Source organism: Homo sapiens, chromosome X (assembly GCF_000001405.40).
Source record: "Homo sapiens chromosome X, GRCh38.p14 Primary Assembly".
NCBI classification, from domain to species: Eukaryota; Metazoa; Chordata; class Mammalia; order Primates; family Hominidae; genus Homo; species Homo sapiens.
The window spans coordinates 132,368,469-132,386,873 of record NC_000023.11 but is presented as its reverse complement, the minus strand read 5'-3'; the positions used below and the strand labels follow the sequence as shown (position 1 = coordinate 132,386,873).

The following is an 18,405-nucleotide window of genomic DNA, read 5'->3' as shown; positions in this document are numbered from 1 at the left end:
CTTGCTTGGTTTGAGTACATTTGTTACTTTCTCTAGTACTAGTACCATCTCTCCCCCCACAGGCCCTGCAGCCTGGTACACTGCAACTGATACCAAAGAGATCAGCACTGGAAAAGCCCAATGGTGCCACCCCGGTCTTTAATCCCACTGTTTTCCACTGCCAACAGGCTCTGACTAACCTGCAGCTCCCACAGCCGGCATTTATCCCTGCAGGTGAGAACACAGCTCTAGGCACTGCAGCGAGTTTGGTGATGTTGTGAATGTATACAATGCAAAACAGCTTTCAAAGAGCTTGTATAGGAGGACTGTCGACATGTATTTTGATTAAAAATAAAACAAGGAAGTTATGCTTATCTGCTAGTATCTAGAACTACTTGTTTTTCTATAATTCATGAAAATTCATGGTTTGAAATCAAACTAGGAAAAAGTATCAACATTTTTCTTTTTAGCATTTGTTGGTTTTTGCTTATGATTAATTCACTTGGTTCAGTCTCAAACTAATTCCTTGACTCTTAGGTATCACTGTCACAGACAGTAGAGTGCTGTCAAATAAAAAGGCAAAAACTCCCAGCTTCGATATTATGGAAATGCGTTGTCAATATGTCTTTGATATGCCAAAGGTAGTTAAAATAAAACTACCCTAAGTGCATAATATAGTATAATATAGATTAAACAGATAGTTTTAGCCTGTAACTCCTGAATCAGTTAATATAAAATACATAGCAGTTTATATTTTCTGACATTTTGCAGCATATTTTGTTATCTCCTACATTCAGCTATATTTAATAGCCTGTTTTACATGAAATTGAACAGAAAATGTTAAGCCAGAAATTTGTTCAATTAGATATCATATATTGGGGGGAAACTAATTTTCTTCCAGTGGTTTAGTAGTTTAAGAATGAGCATATAGTCTCTTAGGAATAAATTGAAAATTCTAACCATTGAGAGTACAGCAGTTTTTTTTTTCCATTTTTTTTTTTTTTTGACACAATGGTAAATGCCCAAGATTGGAAACTATTTTTAAATGAAAATAACATATGTTTTAAAAAATAATTTAGAAATCCTTGTTAATACCCAGACTTGAGAAAACTTATTGGTTAACTAGTAAATTAATCAGTTAATTAATTTTGAAAGGTACCATAAAACACCAGTCTTTAGTTACTAGCCACAGCAGTCCTTCATGCCATCATTTAAATTATACAATTTGTATACATTTATATGATAGTTTCTGAGAGGAAATATGGAATTCTTCAGCACTTTCTTACATCCCTTATAATAAGTAACTACTGATATCTAATAATTTAGATATTTTCTCCCAACCTAAGAAAAACACACATAATGTCTACAGAGTAAAAGAGAAAACCAGTATGAGTTGACATGACTTTATTCCTAGCATTTTTTTTCTTCAAAAATTGTGGTAATTTACCTACACATTAGATCACTCTACCTTGGCTACTTCCAATTTGTATTATAGCTGTGGAATGAATTCAGTAGCCCTGGAAGTCTAGTCAAGGTGGTTGAATATAATAAAATGTATGCTGTTCATCATAGTTTTTCTTAATACTACAGTTACTTTGTTTCCAAGTTTGAATTTTTTGCCAGATTTGGCCAACATAAAATCTAGTTTCATAAGCAAAAATGTCAGAAAAATTCCCTTTCCCTTAATTAGTAGCAACATAAAAGCCTGTCCAGCTAAGAGGTCTCTCTTAATGGAACCTCTTTGCCATATATTCATAGTCAAGTCCTATTGACTATGAGACAGTGGAGGAGACAGTGTTAACAGATTAATACTCTAAATAGAAACACGGACACCAGATACGAGATTCTGGAGCATATTTAGAAAATGATATGTGTAATAAATTAAAATTCTCTTATTATAAAAATTATTTAGGATGTATTTGTCCACAATAAATATGTAATTTAAGTGAGTTAATTCTTTTAAAGAAAAATTATAGCTGATTTTGTACCTAAGAATCCAAGAATTATTTTGATTACCTGGGTTTGTGACCTTAAAACTAATCTGTAATTGTAAACATGGGAGATTGTTGGACTTGCATGTGCTGAGTAATTGATATTGCAAAGAAATAATCTTTCTGTTAAAATGTATTTCTATCAGTAAATCCTTAATAATCAAATATCTCTTTTACTTTCCACGCTTTTCTGCGTGGTGTACAGGGCCAATACTGTGCATGGCACCCGCTTCAAATATTGGTAGGTTTTCTACAAAAATTATCAACATTTTCTAATCTGAAAAAATGTGTTTTTCTGTTGTGACTATGAAAGATGAATGACTGAAAGATGTGGCTGGAAATTTTCTGAGTATGTTAAGGTTTAACATGGTGCTTTCTGTTTTATGTCTTTGTAGCATCAAAATAGTCCTACTTTCTCAAGTCCTAGTTGGTTGCCACTGTGGCCAAATACTGGCCCTGTCATTTCTCTATTTCTACCCTAACAACAGCAACTGAAATATTAAAAAATCGTTTCTTTTACAATATTTGAAACTAGCCAGACTGGGCAGTTTTGTTCTTTGCTTAACATGTATTATTTAAAAATTGTAAAATACTTAAAATGTATAACTTGTAAAGTACAATGAAACAATTCCCACCTGAAAAAGTTATCTATAGGACTTAAAGCATTCAATGTTCCTATGTTGCGAGAGGATGAGTTCAGCAAAGCCAGAGGATTCTGCAGTGTTCTGTAATGAATCCTGTAGTGTTCTAGCCTGAAGCACCATTGGCACAGAAGCTAGGCACAACAGAATCATTTCAAAATGACTCTTTGAGTGTTACGTGATTTTTAACAAGCAGTTGCACACAGATCCTTTTGTTAGCCACTAACACAATATGATAGCCATCTCTAAACCATTTTATACAGCACTAATACTGAAGAGCATGAGAAAGGAATGGGGAGTTCACAGCTCCTACAGTCCTCATGGGCACAAGGAACAGACCAGGAGAAAATAGCTCTGTTCTATGCAAGGAGAAATGATCCCAACCCGTCCCACTCTACCGTCTCACATCAATCCAGGCCATCCCCTCCCTTTTGAGAGTTTGCAACAAATTGACCTTTGTCACCTTGGTGGACCAGAATAGATGCAGAGCCCCAAAAGCACTACTAACAGGCTTCTTGAGAATAAAGTTCAAAATGACAACCACATAGTAGCAGCACTCACTAACATAGCGAGATCTGAACCCTGGGAATGGAAGTGAGGCCCCTGTTACTGAGGGTTTGACTGTCTTCTGTAGGAATTAATAAACATTTCCATTAATACCAACAGGAGCACAATATGTATACCTTTGAATCATAATGTGTACAATTAGAACAGACTTCTGCAAGTTTGAGAAATGTGTCTTTGCCTTCATGTTTTGTGACAGTTTTCTTGAAGATGCTCTCTTGTCCTTTCACCTTCAGAGCTTTGCTTAGGAATGCAAACTGCATTCTTTAGTGGATCTGCTTCCTGTACAATTGCTGCACTCCCAAAGGGAAAACAAGAGTGTTTTTAGAATTGGCATATGAGACAACAGGGATGGCTCTGGGTAATGGGTAACTAGAGATAAATGGAAGGGATAACTATGGAGTTTCTGTTAATCACCATTTGGGGTACATTTTCAGTTTCTATGACATTGCACATGTTAATTTTTCTCTGGCCATTCATTTTCTCTTTAGACTTTCAGAAAATCTGAATTTAATTGATGTAGACATGATAAATTATTACATATGCATGCTTGCCATTCACACATTGCCATTCACACATTAATTCCCTGGTTTGCTTTCTGAAATGAGCTAGACATCAGAAAGCACCCAAAACGCTTTCTAAATGAGATAGAAACTAGAAAAGGCAAAGATAAAACATCCTGCAAGAGATTTCACAGCTGCTAACCATTGTAGCTATAATAGTTGCTGTGAAGACAAGATTTACTGTGAAGTACTCCATGTATTTGTTTGATAAATGGCCAAAGTTTCCCAGGAGTTTGCCAGAGGTGTACTTAAAAACCTGCATGCATAGTCCACTGTATTCTTCATATCTGCCCCCCTACCACATACCAACCAGTCTACCTACCATGTCTTTGCATGCAGATCAGGTAAGTATACATATAACTGCCTGTTTGCACCTGCAAATCTAGTGACGGCATTCATGTCCATAAGTCAGTGAACCTAAATTCCAATTTATGATTCCTTAATTCCATTTTGAATGTGCAGTCCAGTTACTTGTCTGCTTAACTAGCTTCAGATAGATAGCCCTTGTAACATTGGATTTTTGTTTTCATATGCATTCATTATAGCCCCTTCTGAAAATTTAGCCTTTTGAGTAAACTACAATGGGATTCTGCTCAAAAACTTACTAAATGTTGAGAATGGTTCCATTTTCCATATTGGTAACTATAATTGGCTTTCCCCTTTTCTCTTTTTAATTTTCCCCCCTTCCATGCTGTGTTGCTTTGCACTGACTGTGATTGCATGAACACCCTGATGTATTCATCGTTATGATGTCACATGGCTTGTTGCTGTGATACCTACCACACCTCATTCCATCGTAAATGTTATGGTTGCATAAATCCTCTACCCTCCCGTGTGTTGCTTCTATGGTTTTCAACTGAAAGTGCCCATGATGCACGGTGCTACACCTACCACTGTGTCTGCAGCAACAACACCTGCCACCAGCGTTCCGTTCGCTGCACCAACTACAGGCAATCAGGTTTGGCCATTTATTTAAGCTGTTCAGATCAAGATAACTACAATGTTTTGGTAATGCACAGTATATGCTTTTTGGATTGGTGAGATTCTTATGTGTTTCTTAAGCCATTGTCACATTTAGAATTTTTATTTTTGTGTATATTCTAGAATGCTATATGTGCTTTGCTATTCATCCCAAGATGAATCAGAGGAGTTTTGCTCATTTTTAATTGGTTACCAGATGTTGCTCTTGATATTCTATATTTAATTACTGGTAACACACCAATCCTCAAATGTATATACTTAATGTTACTTAAATGCTTCCTCATTGGTCAAGAGAATTTATTTCACTGCCATTTTTGATTATTGTGTTTAAACTTTGGCTTAGTACAGTCATCACCTTTACCTTCAGATCCACTGGAGAGAAAACAAAATATCACATTTCTTTCCAAGACATGGATATCCTTATCATTTCGCAGTGATTACATCAGAAGTTCCTTCTCATATGGACATTAGATGTGCTTGTTGTTTTGATTTTTATTTGCTTTAGGTATTTCTAGGCAGAGTTCACAAGGCAGATTATAAGTTTGGGGGGAGTCTTGAAATTATAAGGAGATACATACAATAATTATTGTATAGTATTAGGGCCATTTTGCCTTATTAAAGTGGGAACCATGCTTATAGACTAAAAGATCCACATATATAACAACATAAACAGAATTCTCCCAAGAAACTATTTTAATCTAAAATCTTTTTTACTACTATAGATACCCCAATTATCAATAGATGAACTGAATAGCAGCATGTTTGTTTCACAGATGTAGAAGTTCTCAGTAGAACAGTAAGTTTCTTTCAGTATTAATATAAATAATATTTATAGGCTACATATTTTATTTACACAATTGCACTTCTAAAAGGCTTTCGTAAATATTTTCATTCATAGACATTGCTTGTGATGTAGAGCTTGATTTACACATTATAAATTTTCCAAATTGAAATGTGAGTGCAAATATGCAATATTTTTTATATGGCAATGACAGCTGGTACTGTATTTTCTCAATGAGCTAACACATTCTTAAATGTTTTCCTATTATTAAAGGAATATATAATTTGTTAGCCAGAGGCACAGATTACTTTTGAGTTGTAATTCTTTAACCATTTTATAGCTTCATTTTTTTTTTGAAGATCAAACAAGAATTTTCAGGATTTGACTGATATGATTATGTTAAACACAGTAAGCACTATGCCTGTCATGTGACATTGTATTGAATTTTGAGTGACATAATTTAGTAACTGAGTCATTATTTTCATTCCAATCATGTCTCTTTTTTAAAATTTTTGTTGTTGTGGGATTTTTTTTTTCTCCTTCACCCTCAATCTCCTCTTTGCCTGGTGCCCATCATGGCACACACTTTTTTAAGCAATCATTCACTTAAGAACATGTGATTTCTGAAGCCACTTAAGACTCCTAGGTATTTTAATTAATTCTAGGGACTTACTAAAATAGTGTACCAACTCTGAATTGCATACCTTCATCATCGAAAGTTTGAAGTTCTCACACCTGGAGTGTGTCATTTGGTTGAAGGAGGCAGCAGTTCTGTTCCCTCGTGAACTAGTTCCCCAGACCCCAGCTAGCCCTTCTTTCCTGCTGAGGACACACGGGCTTAGAACACTAAGTGTTCTGGACAGAGCAGATAGCCGACTGGACATTAAATAAATAGGTCTCCTCAATCATAAGGAAGGATTTTAAAAGGCACCTTTGAGCACATGGGATAACTGAAGGAGCTATAAATTGTCATTGTTTCCAGAGGTGTCATTTGGGATAGTGGCAACTTGGAAATAGCACTAAACATGATAATGTAGGTTTTGCCAACACTTGCCCAACTTTCATGGGCTGCTTTACGTCAAGGTAACCACAAGTTGTCAAATTAACTTTCCAACAGAGCATGTTAGGGAAGAGTGATTCCTTCTTGCTTGATTTTGTTAGAAATGTAGAGATATTTGGCAGAACATAATCACTTCAATATGTAATAGGTGCTAAAAATTCCTCTAAAGTTCAAAAATGTAATTTTGTACAATACAATACCCAGATTTCACAGGTAGGCTACTTCTGCATGGCTCTAAAACATTCAGAGAAAAAGTTGAAAGTGTATTTAATATTTGCATATTTCAAAATGTTCGGTATCAAACATGTTTTCTCAGTACATGCCTGTTGAAAGGTGGACACATGGGTGTATGTTCAACAAAAAGTAGATAGATAATGCCTTAAACATTGGATTGCATCTCTGTTAGGACAGTTCTCCACATTAGCACTCAAAGGGTATCATAGACTATCATAGATATATGGTTCTTTCATGATCATTCTCAAAAGCCCCATTTCAATCTGAAATTCAGATTGGGGATATTTTGGCACTGTTAACAGACAGAACTGGAACAAGACCCACCACACTCTCCTGACTCTTCCTTCAATAACCTTTCAATATTTCTCACTCTTTCTTTCTTTCTTTTTTTTTCCATTTCAGCTGAAATTCTGAACAGCAGAGTTATGGAGTATCAGAATCTTTCCATGGAAACCTCCATATGGCCTTTCTATATATATTCTCGTATGTCTTATTCTACCAACACAACAATAAGCGTGTTGCAGTCAATGTATTAAGCAAAGCAAACCTGCCAGCCAGCAAATTCAAATAAAAAATAAAGCATTAAAAATCAATGGAGATGTTAAAACAACACAAATAGAAAACTAGTAACTACCATCCATCCTATTTGAATTATCAAGCAGAACATGACCATAAAATTTGGTAACTTGTTACATTACTCTTTGTGATTTTCTAATAACCATGCTAAGTGTATTTCCACAGTGAGCTTTTGGCTTACTATATACATTCTTGGTGGATAAATTGTTCATCTGTTTTTGAAGTGTTACCTTACTATTTTGTTTACAAGATAGTCTATTGGGTTGATTCAGGATGTAACAAATATATTCAGTACCATTTCTTGTGTTGTATTGTGTTGTGCTGTGTTAGGTTTTTACATACTGTAGTGTTTTGCTGTATATGTGTGGTGTTTGATTTCAACTAAAGTGTTATTAGTGGGGAACAGAAGTATATGTGCTTAAGAACATGACAGGTTCATGCAAATATGCTCTCTTTCTTTAGAATATTTCTGTAGGTTTCTTGGGACTGACATTTAAAACGCCTCACTTTTGAATGTGCACAAAACCTGCTCATTAACATGCATGTGTATAATTTGTACCTGCAGATCTGATGTTGCATAATACAATCAAATTACTAGATTTTTTAAAGAGAGAAATAATTACCTGCACAAAGCAGAGAACTTCATAAAACATTAACCCCTAATTCACTCTTCTTAAATAGCTTGGCAAATAAGACTTTACCTTTAAATGAATTTCTCAGCATTTATACTAAAAATTATGTAAAGTGCTCATTAGATTTTTTGTGTGTGTGGCTTGAGAATCCCATCTCCTAAATTGAGTGTCTAAAACTGAGCCATTTGTCATCTTCAGCTGAGAAACTGGTACTTGGGAGCTTAAAAATATGCTAATTACAAGTTATAAATCAAACGGAGAGATGGGGGCATGGAGATAGTTTTTACGTACTGGAGGAAAGTGTGTAAAACCATGGCAATGTCACCTTTTACACAAATGCCATTTTCCAAATGCAAATGGCTCATGCTCTTTAGACTACTCTTTGAATAACAAGTAAGATGCAATCTAGCAAAAGTCAGTCAGGGTGAAAGAGAATTGGTTGCAAATGAGGACTTCCCTCCCCAAATGGACAGTCTTCTCTGTTGATCACAGAGGGAGCCTGAGTACAGGCTTGGAGAAATGGCTAGGACAGGGAACAGGGAAGCACTTACAATTATTCCTTGATTTATTCAAAAGAACTGGGAAAGATGGTTGTAGTTGTCTTTAGCTTCGGTTCAACTGAGTTTCGTTTTGTTAAACAGTTCAGTGAAGGAGAAAGCACCTGTGATATATGGCAAGTGTCCCCCTGCCCAAACTTTAACATCAGACCCTCTCACATCATAACCAAGCCTCTTTTATGCTTGTTTGGATTCGTTTGCCTTTATATATGTTTGAAAATGACAATAGAAAGGGTTTTATCACCCTTTGAATGAGACAGAGTGGCTATACTCCACAGAGCTCAGCTGAGTTCACATTACTAATATTTATGAAAGAATTTTACAACCAAATAATTCCTGTGGTGTGTGACATATCTCATCCACTCTACTCATTTATTAATGTTATTATACAGTGGTGGAAACACATGACATTTTACATCAAGTAATAGATTTAATATTTTCTAGTAAATAGGCGCTCTTCCACCAGAAAGTATAAAACCATCATATACATATATATATATATATATAATGGTTTTTCTCCTTCATGAAAATGACAAGTAAAAAGCAAATCTGATTGAGGATACCTTAAGCTGGCTAGAAGTGTTTGAATCACAGAACAATGGAATTAGCAAAATCCTTTTTATAGTTGATGGAACTGAATCCAGGGGCATATGACTTGCCCAAGGCTACCTTAGCCATTGTGGGACCCAGAAATATCTCCTGCTTCCCATTGTTCCTCCTTTTCACATTGTTTTTGCTTCAGAACATTTGATGCTCTCTTCCAAAGCAGACCCATTTGGCTCAGAATATAAGAGAGCAAAATTAGCTTTCTGGGAATTGATACTCTGTTGATCTTAATTATCCATCCAAATCCTGATCAACAGTGCTTTCTAAACAGCCTTGCTTGTATTGAGTCATTGTCAGCTGTTGACAATGTTGCGTGGAATTAGAGATCAAGAGTTGTCCTGACCTTTACCTATGGACTCTTTGAACCAGTTAATTTCTATTTCTGAAATCTTAACATTGCTATAGAAGAAAGTAGTGTATGCCTTTTTGAAATTCATCATGTATGGAACTGAGTTTTGTATGATCCGTGCCAGTGCCTCTCCAGAAGGGCAGATCTGATTACATGAATCCAGGAGGGATGCACCTGAGCTAGTCTGGATATATTCCTTAAAGGAGACAAGAACTTTTTTGTGCAAAATGAACTTTTGTGTAGTTTGACATCTGCATGCAGTGAACTGTCTCACTTAACTTTTTCAACTTTGGGCAAAGATATACATAAACCATAGATAATAGACCTACAGTACAGCTGTTTTCATGTTGCGTTAAGCACTGGAAGACATTAACAATGACTTACCTTAAAGTAAAAGGTTCCGTGAGGGGTATTTAGGGCCACTGTATTTTTGGTGCCACAATTTTCTACATTGTTGGCATTTTAAAAGTTGTTTTCTAAATGAACTTAAAGAAAGAAAGCTCAAAGCCCTAAAGTTTTGATCAAATTCAATAGAGTTTTCAGAAAAAAATACAATTTTAAGATAGCACTCTTTAAACTAGATGTGCAATGACTTATTCAAATTATCTTTATTCAAGAAAAGAGAAAAGAAGAAAGATAAGTCATTAGACTATAAATTTCCATTTAAAAAGACAAGTCACAAAACTAATCAGTGACTCTAAACAAAAATTTACTGGATGAATTGTATATATAAAATTCTAATCACTTATGATTCTTAGTTAACATTTTATAAGCTTTGTATTTTACAGGGGCCTCTATTTATCCAAATTTATTGTTTTTGTCCATTTTTCTCAGCCTTTTGCAAAAAATATGCAAGAGTGCTGAAACTTGGATAAAACGGGTCATGTATACAGAGAAAATAATCTAAAAGTTATCTTTAAGAGGGTTTTAGTAGTGTCAACTTTTTAAAAAAGTACTATGTGACCATAACATACGTATATTTTAAAGAGGGATTAAGATTAAATTAAAATAAATGGATTCATAAAATTGCTATTTAAATACAGTATTTACTTTTGTAATTGAAGCATGATTCCACAACCAGCTGTGGCATTTTATTTCACTTTTCTAGATCAGAGGCTTTAATTTGTAGTTAATCATGATGTGGAAAGTCATCTTCTCTCTACTCCATCAATTTTTTTCATCCGTTTTTGAACATGCTGAAGCACTTTGATCTTGCCATAAGTGTTGTCCTATACCACTAGGTGGTGTTCACTAATGGGAGGGCCTCAGCTCACCGGCTCTCCAATTTGGGAAAAAGCAAGTACCTCCTCCCTACCATCAGCAGAAACTGAATGAAATTAATCTTTGCAACTTGAATCTGTTTTAAGTAGCATTACCAATAAGCATAGTGGTATCTGAATAAGGAATGACATTTACATTACATTTTATTAAATAAGAGAGAAAGTTAATGTGCTACTTGAAATGTTATTTGGTTCTTTGTCCCCCTCATTGCAGAGTATAGATAAGGATGCTCTTAGGTAAAATGCAGCCACAAGTTTTCCGAGTTCCTTTAGTCTGTAGGGTAGGCTATGAGGTACAGAATGATTAGAAACTGAAATCCTCATTATTTTTCTCTCAAATACATTTCACATACATTGAAACAGAAATAGGCAAAATTTATGAGGGAAATCTGATTTCCCAATTCTGATGAATAGATATACTAAGACAGTAGCCTTGTTTAACCAGTGCCTGTAGAAGGCACTAGAATAAATAGCATGTCCAAGAGTATAACAACTTTTTTTGTAAATTTAGTTACTAGCCTAATCAAACTGTAAATATAACTCACTAATTGGTACCATATTTTCATTTTTCTTATTGTTCATCTTTAAGGTTTCATTTTATTGCTTTTTTGTAGCTCTAAGTAACTAATCAATTTAATTTCAAAGGAAAGTTAAAGAAAGTTTAAGCTTTTACTGCATGGATTCTGCCCGCCTAGCTAGGTTCTGAACTGACACTGAAGTATGACAAGATACAGATTATAGTCCAAAACTATCCTTTACAGTTCACAATTTAAGAACAAATTTAACTTTATATACAAATAATAATTGTTATCTAATTATATTTAGTTGTTGCTTTGGCAACAAAATTACAACATGGCTACCTTTAGACATTTGTGTATGTGAACATTTTACTTGTAAACTATAGGTGATTTGTGACAGTATGAGCCTGTAGAAAATACAGCTCAAAACTATGAAAACAGACATGGTTGAGTTCTTTTTTAATCCCAAAGGCCCATATATAAAAGCTGAATTTGTGTCCTTGTGTGACTTTTTGTGAAAAAGTTTATAACACATGGATTCTAGAATCAGGCTTTATAGTTTATAGAATTTGTTGTGTGGATAGGGTTATTCCACAGTATTTAGACTTCAAAACGCAATCATTGCATTTTTAATACATTACCTAACTTTTTTTATAACTTAATTCAAAATTACCCCATTCAAGTGGCATAGCTGTAGCTGCAAAAATTCTGTTTTCTGGAATTACATGAGCAAATATAGCTATATGAGGATTAATGTATGACTAAAGCCTCTTTTGAAATTAATTCATATTTTTAAAACTATACATAAAGATACTGTGGAATGACCCCTTAACAGTGTTTAAGAAACATATGCTGCAGTTAATTGACTGTCTCAGTTAGGGTGCGGATGTGTGAGACACACCTTTTTTGCACTTATGTACATAGTCCATGAAAGCAATCCTTGGAGCTTTTTTTAAATGTAAGAAGTCTGTGATAATAGTGGAAAAGTTAGTAAGAGAGAGTTATTTCTAAGGCTTTGAAAAGGAGGGTGTTTTTGCTCTAAGACTTAACTAAAGCATAATGTTGCTTTGCTGTTACGGAGGCTTTCTAGTTTGCTACAGGTCACCAAAAGAGAAGGCTAGTAACAGGTAACAGGTCAGCCTCAGCTAACAGCACTGAACAAGAGTAGAATAACTTCATCTTTTAACAAGATCATTAGCAAAGATTGTTTGCTTTTTAAATTAATCCCCCCTATAAACACACACACACGTGTGCACACACACACACACACACACACACCGGGCAGTTTCTAGAACAAGTTTTCCTTTTTCAGTGGTTGTAAGCAGTGAAATACCTCATGTATTACAAGATAGATATTACCGTTATGATAGAATAAGATTTCATCTTTCACAGAAAGTGATCAGCTGATATATGTGTCAGTTAAAATGTTTATCAATTAATAGGTATTTAAGTGACAAATTGTTAATGTTGACCATTGTTCCTCCTTTAAGATCCAGTAACCAAAACCAAATCGGTAACCATTGAAAGATGATATTTAACAGTTAAGGATGGCCAGCATAGGGCCGTTCATTCCCTTCAACAAAGGGAAAAAAAATGCTCCTGGCACAACTTTATAACTGGCTTCATTTACATTATACCTGTTCAGTGGAAGCTGTTTTTTGACCTACCTTTACCAGATTACAAAGTAGTTAACTGTGCCACTTCAGCCTCCCACTGTTTTGTTTTAACTAAACAGAAGAGAACCAGCCAAAATCTTACGTAACACAGGAGCTGGAAGACAATGTTTCAATCTGACCATCTCTGCCAATTTTAGCTCCCACGCCACCTATAGATAGCCAGTTAACTTTCTTTTTGCCCCCAGGCAATGAGGCCTAGAAGAGGTCAAGGTTAGAAAGGTTAAGCATTTGATCACTACAGGTACTTGTAGTACCTAGAGAAGGAACCCATCCTGGGGTTGGTGGAGTTGGTATTGCTACTCGTTTTGATAGTTCTCATTTACAGAGAAAGAAAAATAAGCCAAAGCCAGAAAGCAATCCAAGCCTTACAGTTGTCCAATACCTCAGGGCCAGTTGGCTAGAATTTTCTTTTCCCTCAGCCCATAATCACTTAGAGTTAGCCATACAACAAACAGCCTGACAATCTGACCAGCATTTCCATTGATATAAAATGTAAGCATTCCTTCATTCTGTAGTTAGGAACTCCAACTTCAGCCTTATCTCCAACATAATTTCCCAATTTAACCTATGTACTGATATGGACATTTCTTTGTGAATATGCCAGATTCAAGAATGTATTTTTCTAAGGTCAATAGAGATACGACATTTTAAGTCAGGAAAAATCACCTATAAATTAGTAGGAATAACTGTAGAAGCATCACAAAAGATACCCCATGAATAGATGGCATGGTGTGCATGCTGACAGCCACGGGGTCATACTCTGGAGTTTCAACATAGAGGCTGTGTTTCAATAAATAAGACAAATTGGGGAATTAAGTAAAACAAATGGATGTAACTGAGGCCCCCCCCCAAAAAAAGCCCTCTATTACTAACCTCAAGAAAATATTTAGTTTGACTAATTTGTGCAGTTTCCAGCTCTTCTACTTGTTCTTGCCTGTAAGAGAATCACTAATACTCAAAAGCTGGATTATTGAAGAGAAATTTTATCTTTAAATAGAATCCATCCACAATTATGGTATATGTAAAAAAAATGTATGACTATGAAATAAGTCGCAGCTCTTTGCAGATATTGCAAAATCCTTGCTAGGCATCTACATCATATTAGTTTTTTAAAAAATACCTCTGTAACAAGACCTAAAAGTAACCTAACTATTAAGCAGTGCTTTTTTCTCTGAAAACACACAACCTAAAGATTTATCTGTCATAAAACTGCATGGTTCCAGAGCTTTATTTCTGTGTAGAGATGCTATTTGTTAGTGATGGAAACAAATTACTTTGTTGCTATGTCTTTTGTGTCTAGCAGTTGAGAGAATGATATGACCATCATATCACTGGATTATGGGAATGAATGCCCTTTTCAAAATAAACTTATTTATTAATATTTTAATATTATTTTAATATTATAATATTAATAATATTTTAATATTATTGTTGCTGCTTTAACAGAAAATGAGCCATTTGTCCCCATGCTCCCAAATTACAATGATTTAAATTAAAAAACTTTTGAAGGATTTTCCTAAATATATTCTTTTTTAAAGGACTAACTTTGTGCATTCATATAACAACAATTTGGAATAATGTGAAAAATGGAGGCACATAATTTGGGTGGAAAATGGCGATTAAAAATATATATAAGAAAATTATTAGCCATGTGTAACATATTTAAATAATGACCAGAATATTTCATGAGTACCAACTCTTCCCATAGTAATTTTCCTCCAAAATGCAATAGCTCATTCCCTCAACTGCAGACGCTTTGATTTTTTTTCAAGTTATAGTGCTGTAGTGCTTGTTTATGTTTAAAAGTGCACATTATGCAGCTCATTTTAGTATGCTACTTCTATGTTTATTTTTTGTTCTTCTAATAAAATGCATAAACTTCTTGGTTATGTCTTTTTTTATGAATCCATATTCACACATTAGGAGTTCACTTGAAGGCTATTCATGCTCTAGTATATTAATCCTAATATTTAGTAATTCTAAAATGAAATTTAAATTTCTGATTTGGCTCAATGTTATATTTCATACATAGAGTAAATTTATTTCCAAATATACCATCAGTATTTTGAATTATGTAGATAATATATCCGTTGTGTTAGACCTATTACTCTTATAAGATTGAAGTTACTGACACAAGAAAAACACTTCTATTTTAATAAAAGAATACTTAAAATTTTGAGAGAATGCTTACTAGTTTCTCTTGTGCCTCAGAAATCCTGAGGCATATTCTAAGATGCATTATTAGAAGTTTCTCTTTCCCAGTTATTCATGTCTATCCTGCATCCCTAGTGTAACATATGAAACCAGTGTTGTTTATTTCATACTTTCCAGATGGGCATCAATCATTTCATAACAATGAGATGCATGAATTTTTCCATTAAAATGTTTTCTCTCACTTAAAATTGGTTATCTTCAACAAATGGCACAGTAATAAAAGGATGATCATTTTTGTTCTTTAAGAAAGTAAATGTAATTTAGTAATACTTTATTCTGCCTTATTTCAAAATGCTTCAAAAATGCGAATCTGGAACTTCTCTGCATTGACCACTGTTCTGGAGTTGGGCTGATAGAAAACTGCGGTGAAGAGAGTTTAGATCAGAGGCTATGGCAGAGCAAAGTATTACTGATGTGTCTCTTAACAGTGAAGAGGGTCGGGGAGGAGGTTGGGTCCTTGTCAAGTGTCAGCTGCCCTATACATAGTTCTCTTGCCCCTTGTGCCCTGTTTTACTATTTCTAAGGTGGTTCCCATGATGGCATTTCTTGATAAGCCCACTTTGAGCCGTTTAATGTTTTGTAGGTGTTTCTGTGAGTCTGATAATACCAGCACTAAAAACAGTTCAGTATATAGACATTTACAAGAGGTCTTAGGCCTCTTCAGAATTCAGTTAATGTCTTTCTCTTTGAGGCTGCTGAATGTTAGGTAAGAATTCAGGGCAAGCATTCCCGACCATCATCAAATTGGAGACTTGGAGTTTCTATTGGCTGGAAGAAAGTTGACCCACAGGCAAAACCAGATGTAAACCAAGTTTGTCTTGGGTACTTTTCAAATTCTTTTCACAGCATCCTTTTCTCATCCCTCATGGTGGCCTCTGGCCCTGGAAAATCCTCATGATAGCAACTTATCAGGCCTGTTTCCTCTGATAGATCTGGACTTTTCCCCTTAAGTGCTTTCCTGTTGGGCTTCTCAGACTATGGAGAACTGCTCATAGTTGAGATCTAAGAGACAAATTACCCTATGGTGTTCAAGAATGGCCGTATTTAGTATACTGCCTGTCCTGGAAGTGTTCACATTTAAAAAGGCATGACTTTCCAATGGGCAAATATCAGACACCTACATGCATAGATAAGGGAAATATGTTTTACTTAAGCAAACTTCTAGGCATTGAATCTCAGTGTTTAGGTGCAGAGATGGAATTCCTATAAGCAATGCAGTCATTCACCACATCAGGAAGGCCAAAAAATGAACACTCTCGTAATTTTGTTATTATCTGGAAAGTTCTGATATGATAATGAACCTAAAATACTGAATAGATAGTGAACATCCTAAAATTCCACTGACCAGAATCCATTCCCATGGTCATCATCTGTAGAGGGCATGATACAATGACAGGCCTGAGGTATGATTATAATTCTGGAGTAATTTAAAGCCTATATTTGTTAAACTTTAACAGATGGACACACATTCTCTGATTTTCTACTTGGCTCTTTCCTGTACTAGAAATGCGCATTTAACTAAACCTTCCCAGCTTTTCTGTTCAGTGCCTGACTTACACTACTCCCTTAGGCAGGAGGACAGTGGGTGTCTGGGGAATAAAAGCCAAGAGCTCCAAACAGAGGATTTTGGATACAAAGGGCAGCCACCAGGAAATAGCTTTGTGAGAGGGACAGACTATCTGATTCCCATTTGTACAAACATGTCCAAAGCAAAAGCACAGCATTCTAAAGTGGATGCAGAAATTAGTATACAATGGCAGTTCTGGCCAGTGCAGCCCAGCATTTTTCTGTTGTGCATGGAAAGAACACAGTGAAAAGGCAGGCAGGGCATCCGGTGCAAAGTGCAACAGACATAGACACACAAATCCAGTTTTCCTGATGAGAGAGGGAGCTATCTCTTCATAAGTGATGCAATGCAATGCAGGCATGTACAAGTACAAGGAAAGATTTATTTTTAAAAAATCATAGTGTAACTGGATGAATACCAGCAACAGCACCTGCTAAAGCAAACAGCCTGTTCATTAAAAACTGGACTTGAGGGAATGGAGAAAGAATCTGAGGAGCCTGCAGTCAGCATGCTTGCAGAGACCTTATGGCTACAGAAGACGATGATTAACCCATAGAGGTTCAATGTAGTTTTCAAGAAGAGGGTGGGAAAGCATAAGATGGGGACTAAGACTTTGCCTTTAACCTTCATGACATGAAGAATTGAATGACTCTTTGTTGGAAAAAATGGCAGTTATGAGATAATTGGATCCATGTTAATTATATATATTTCTGTATATATAGTAAGTGGTTATTGATGTGCCTTTGTTAACCATTTCACTATTTAATAAATGTGTGTGTAGTTTATTCAAAGTGTTTCAGTCCTTCTCAATTTCTATGAAAAAAGTCCCAAGTTAAATCCACTTACGGGTAGTTATACTAGGAAAACTTGCACCCATAAGAATCCCTGCAAACAGTGGTCATAATTTGGGGCTCACAGAAAGGGCTGCCAATGAAAGTCAAGCGGTATTTGTTCTAACAATCACACCCCATTTTCACAATTCATATACAAAACCTCAGTGATAAGCAAGTGTTTACCATAAACTGAACTACAAGCCAGCGGTAGAGAACACTCTAATAAGCAACTCCTTTCTTCTGATGGACACCATCAGAAATACTAAAGAAGCCTGGAATCTCAGTGTCATTGGGATGAAATTCTGGATCCAGAGGAACACCCAAACCACTCAGGAACAATATCCAAGGAGTGTCAGGCATCCCAACATGTTGTCCTCTACTCTCCACATTCTGGAGAAATGTTCCTATGGGGGAAAAAAATACAGCTCTAGATATTGTTAGGGTGGCTTAGGGAAAAGTCAGTCCAAGAATAACTTTTTTAGTAATAACAGACTAAAAAATAATTGGAAAATTATGATTATGAATGTATTCAGTGCTGCGCCATTTGACCCTTCTCCTTTCTGCTCCATCCTCCACATTACTGCCAGAGTCATTTTCCTAAAGTCAGATGGTGGATTATTTCGATTCCTGATTAAAATCTTTACAGCTCCTCAATATCTATGGAATAGTCTACACTCTGACATAGCACTCTTTCGTGCTCTGCCCTTGGGCGTGCCCTTCACCTTTCCCCTCTGCCTTCTGTAATGTGTTATAAAAGCAAGCCAAAGGTGAACAGTGGTTCAAACAGTAAAAACAGATTTTAT

The 18,405-nt window shown here is 35.4% G+C and overlaps 1 protein-coding gene and 1 long non-coding RNA gene across 32 annotated transcripts in view; one reads left to right on the top strand and one right to left on the bottom strand.

Moving 5' to 3' along the window:
• The window catches only part of MBNL3 (muscleblind like splicing regulator 3), a 120,716-nt gene extending 103,162 nt beyond the window's left edge, over positions 1–17,554 (top strand). For 15 of the 31 annotated variants that reach the window (NM_001386916.1, NM_001386910.1, NM_001170704.2 and 12 more), the window contains 4 exons: positions 63–213; positions 2,176–2,211; positions 4,602–4,696; positions 7,197–17,554. In NM_001386916.1, coding sequence (NP_001373845.1) covers positions 63–213; positions 2,176–2,211; positions 4,602–4,696; positions 7,197–7,208 — 294 coding nt within the window. In that variant the 3' untranslated portion in view covers positions 7,209–17,554. Of the gene's footprint in view, positions 1–62; positions 214–2,175; positions 2,212–4,601; positions 4,697–5,441; positions 5,516–7,196 lie in introns of all 31 variants that reach the window. The other 16 variants (NM_001386901.1, NM_001386892.1, NM_001386902.1 and 13 more) reach the window with 7 other exon arrangements.
• RAP2C-AS1 (RAP2C antisense RNA 1) overlaps positions 1–18,405 on the bottom strand; it is a 214,305-nt gene that overhangs the window by 45,938 nt on the left and 149,962 nt on the right. The gene's annotated exons all lie outside the window — the stretch shown is intronic.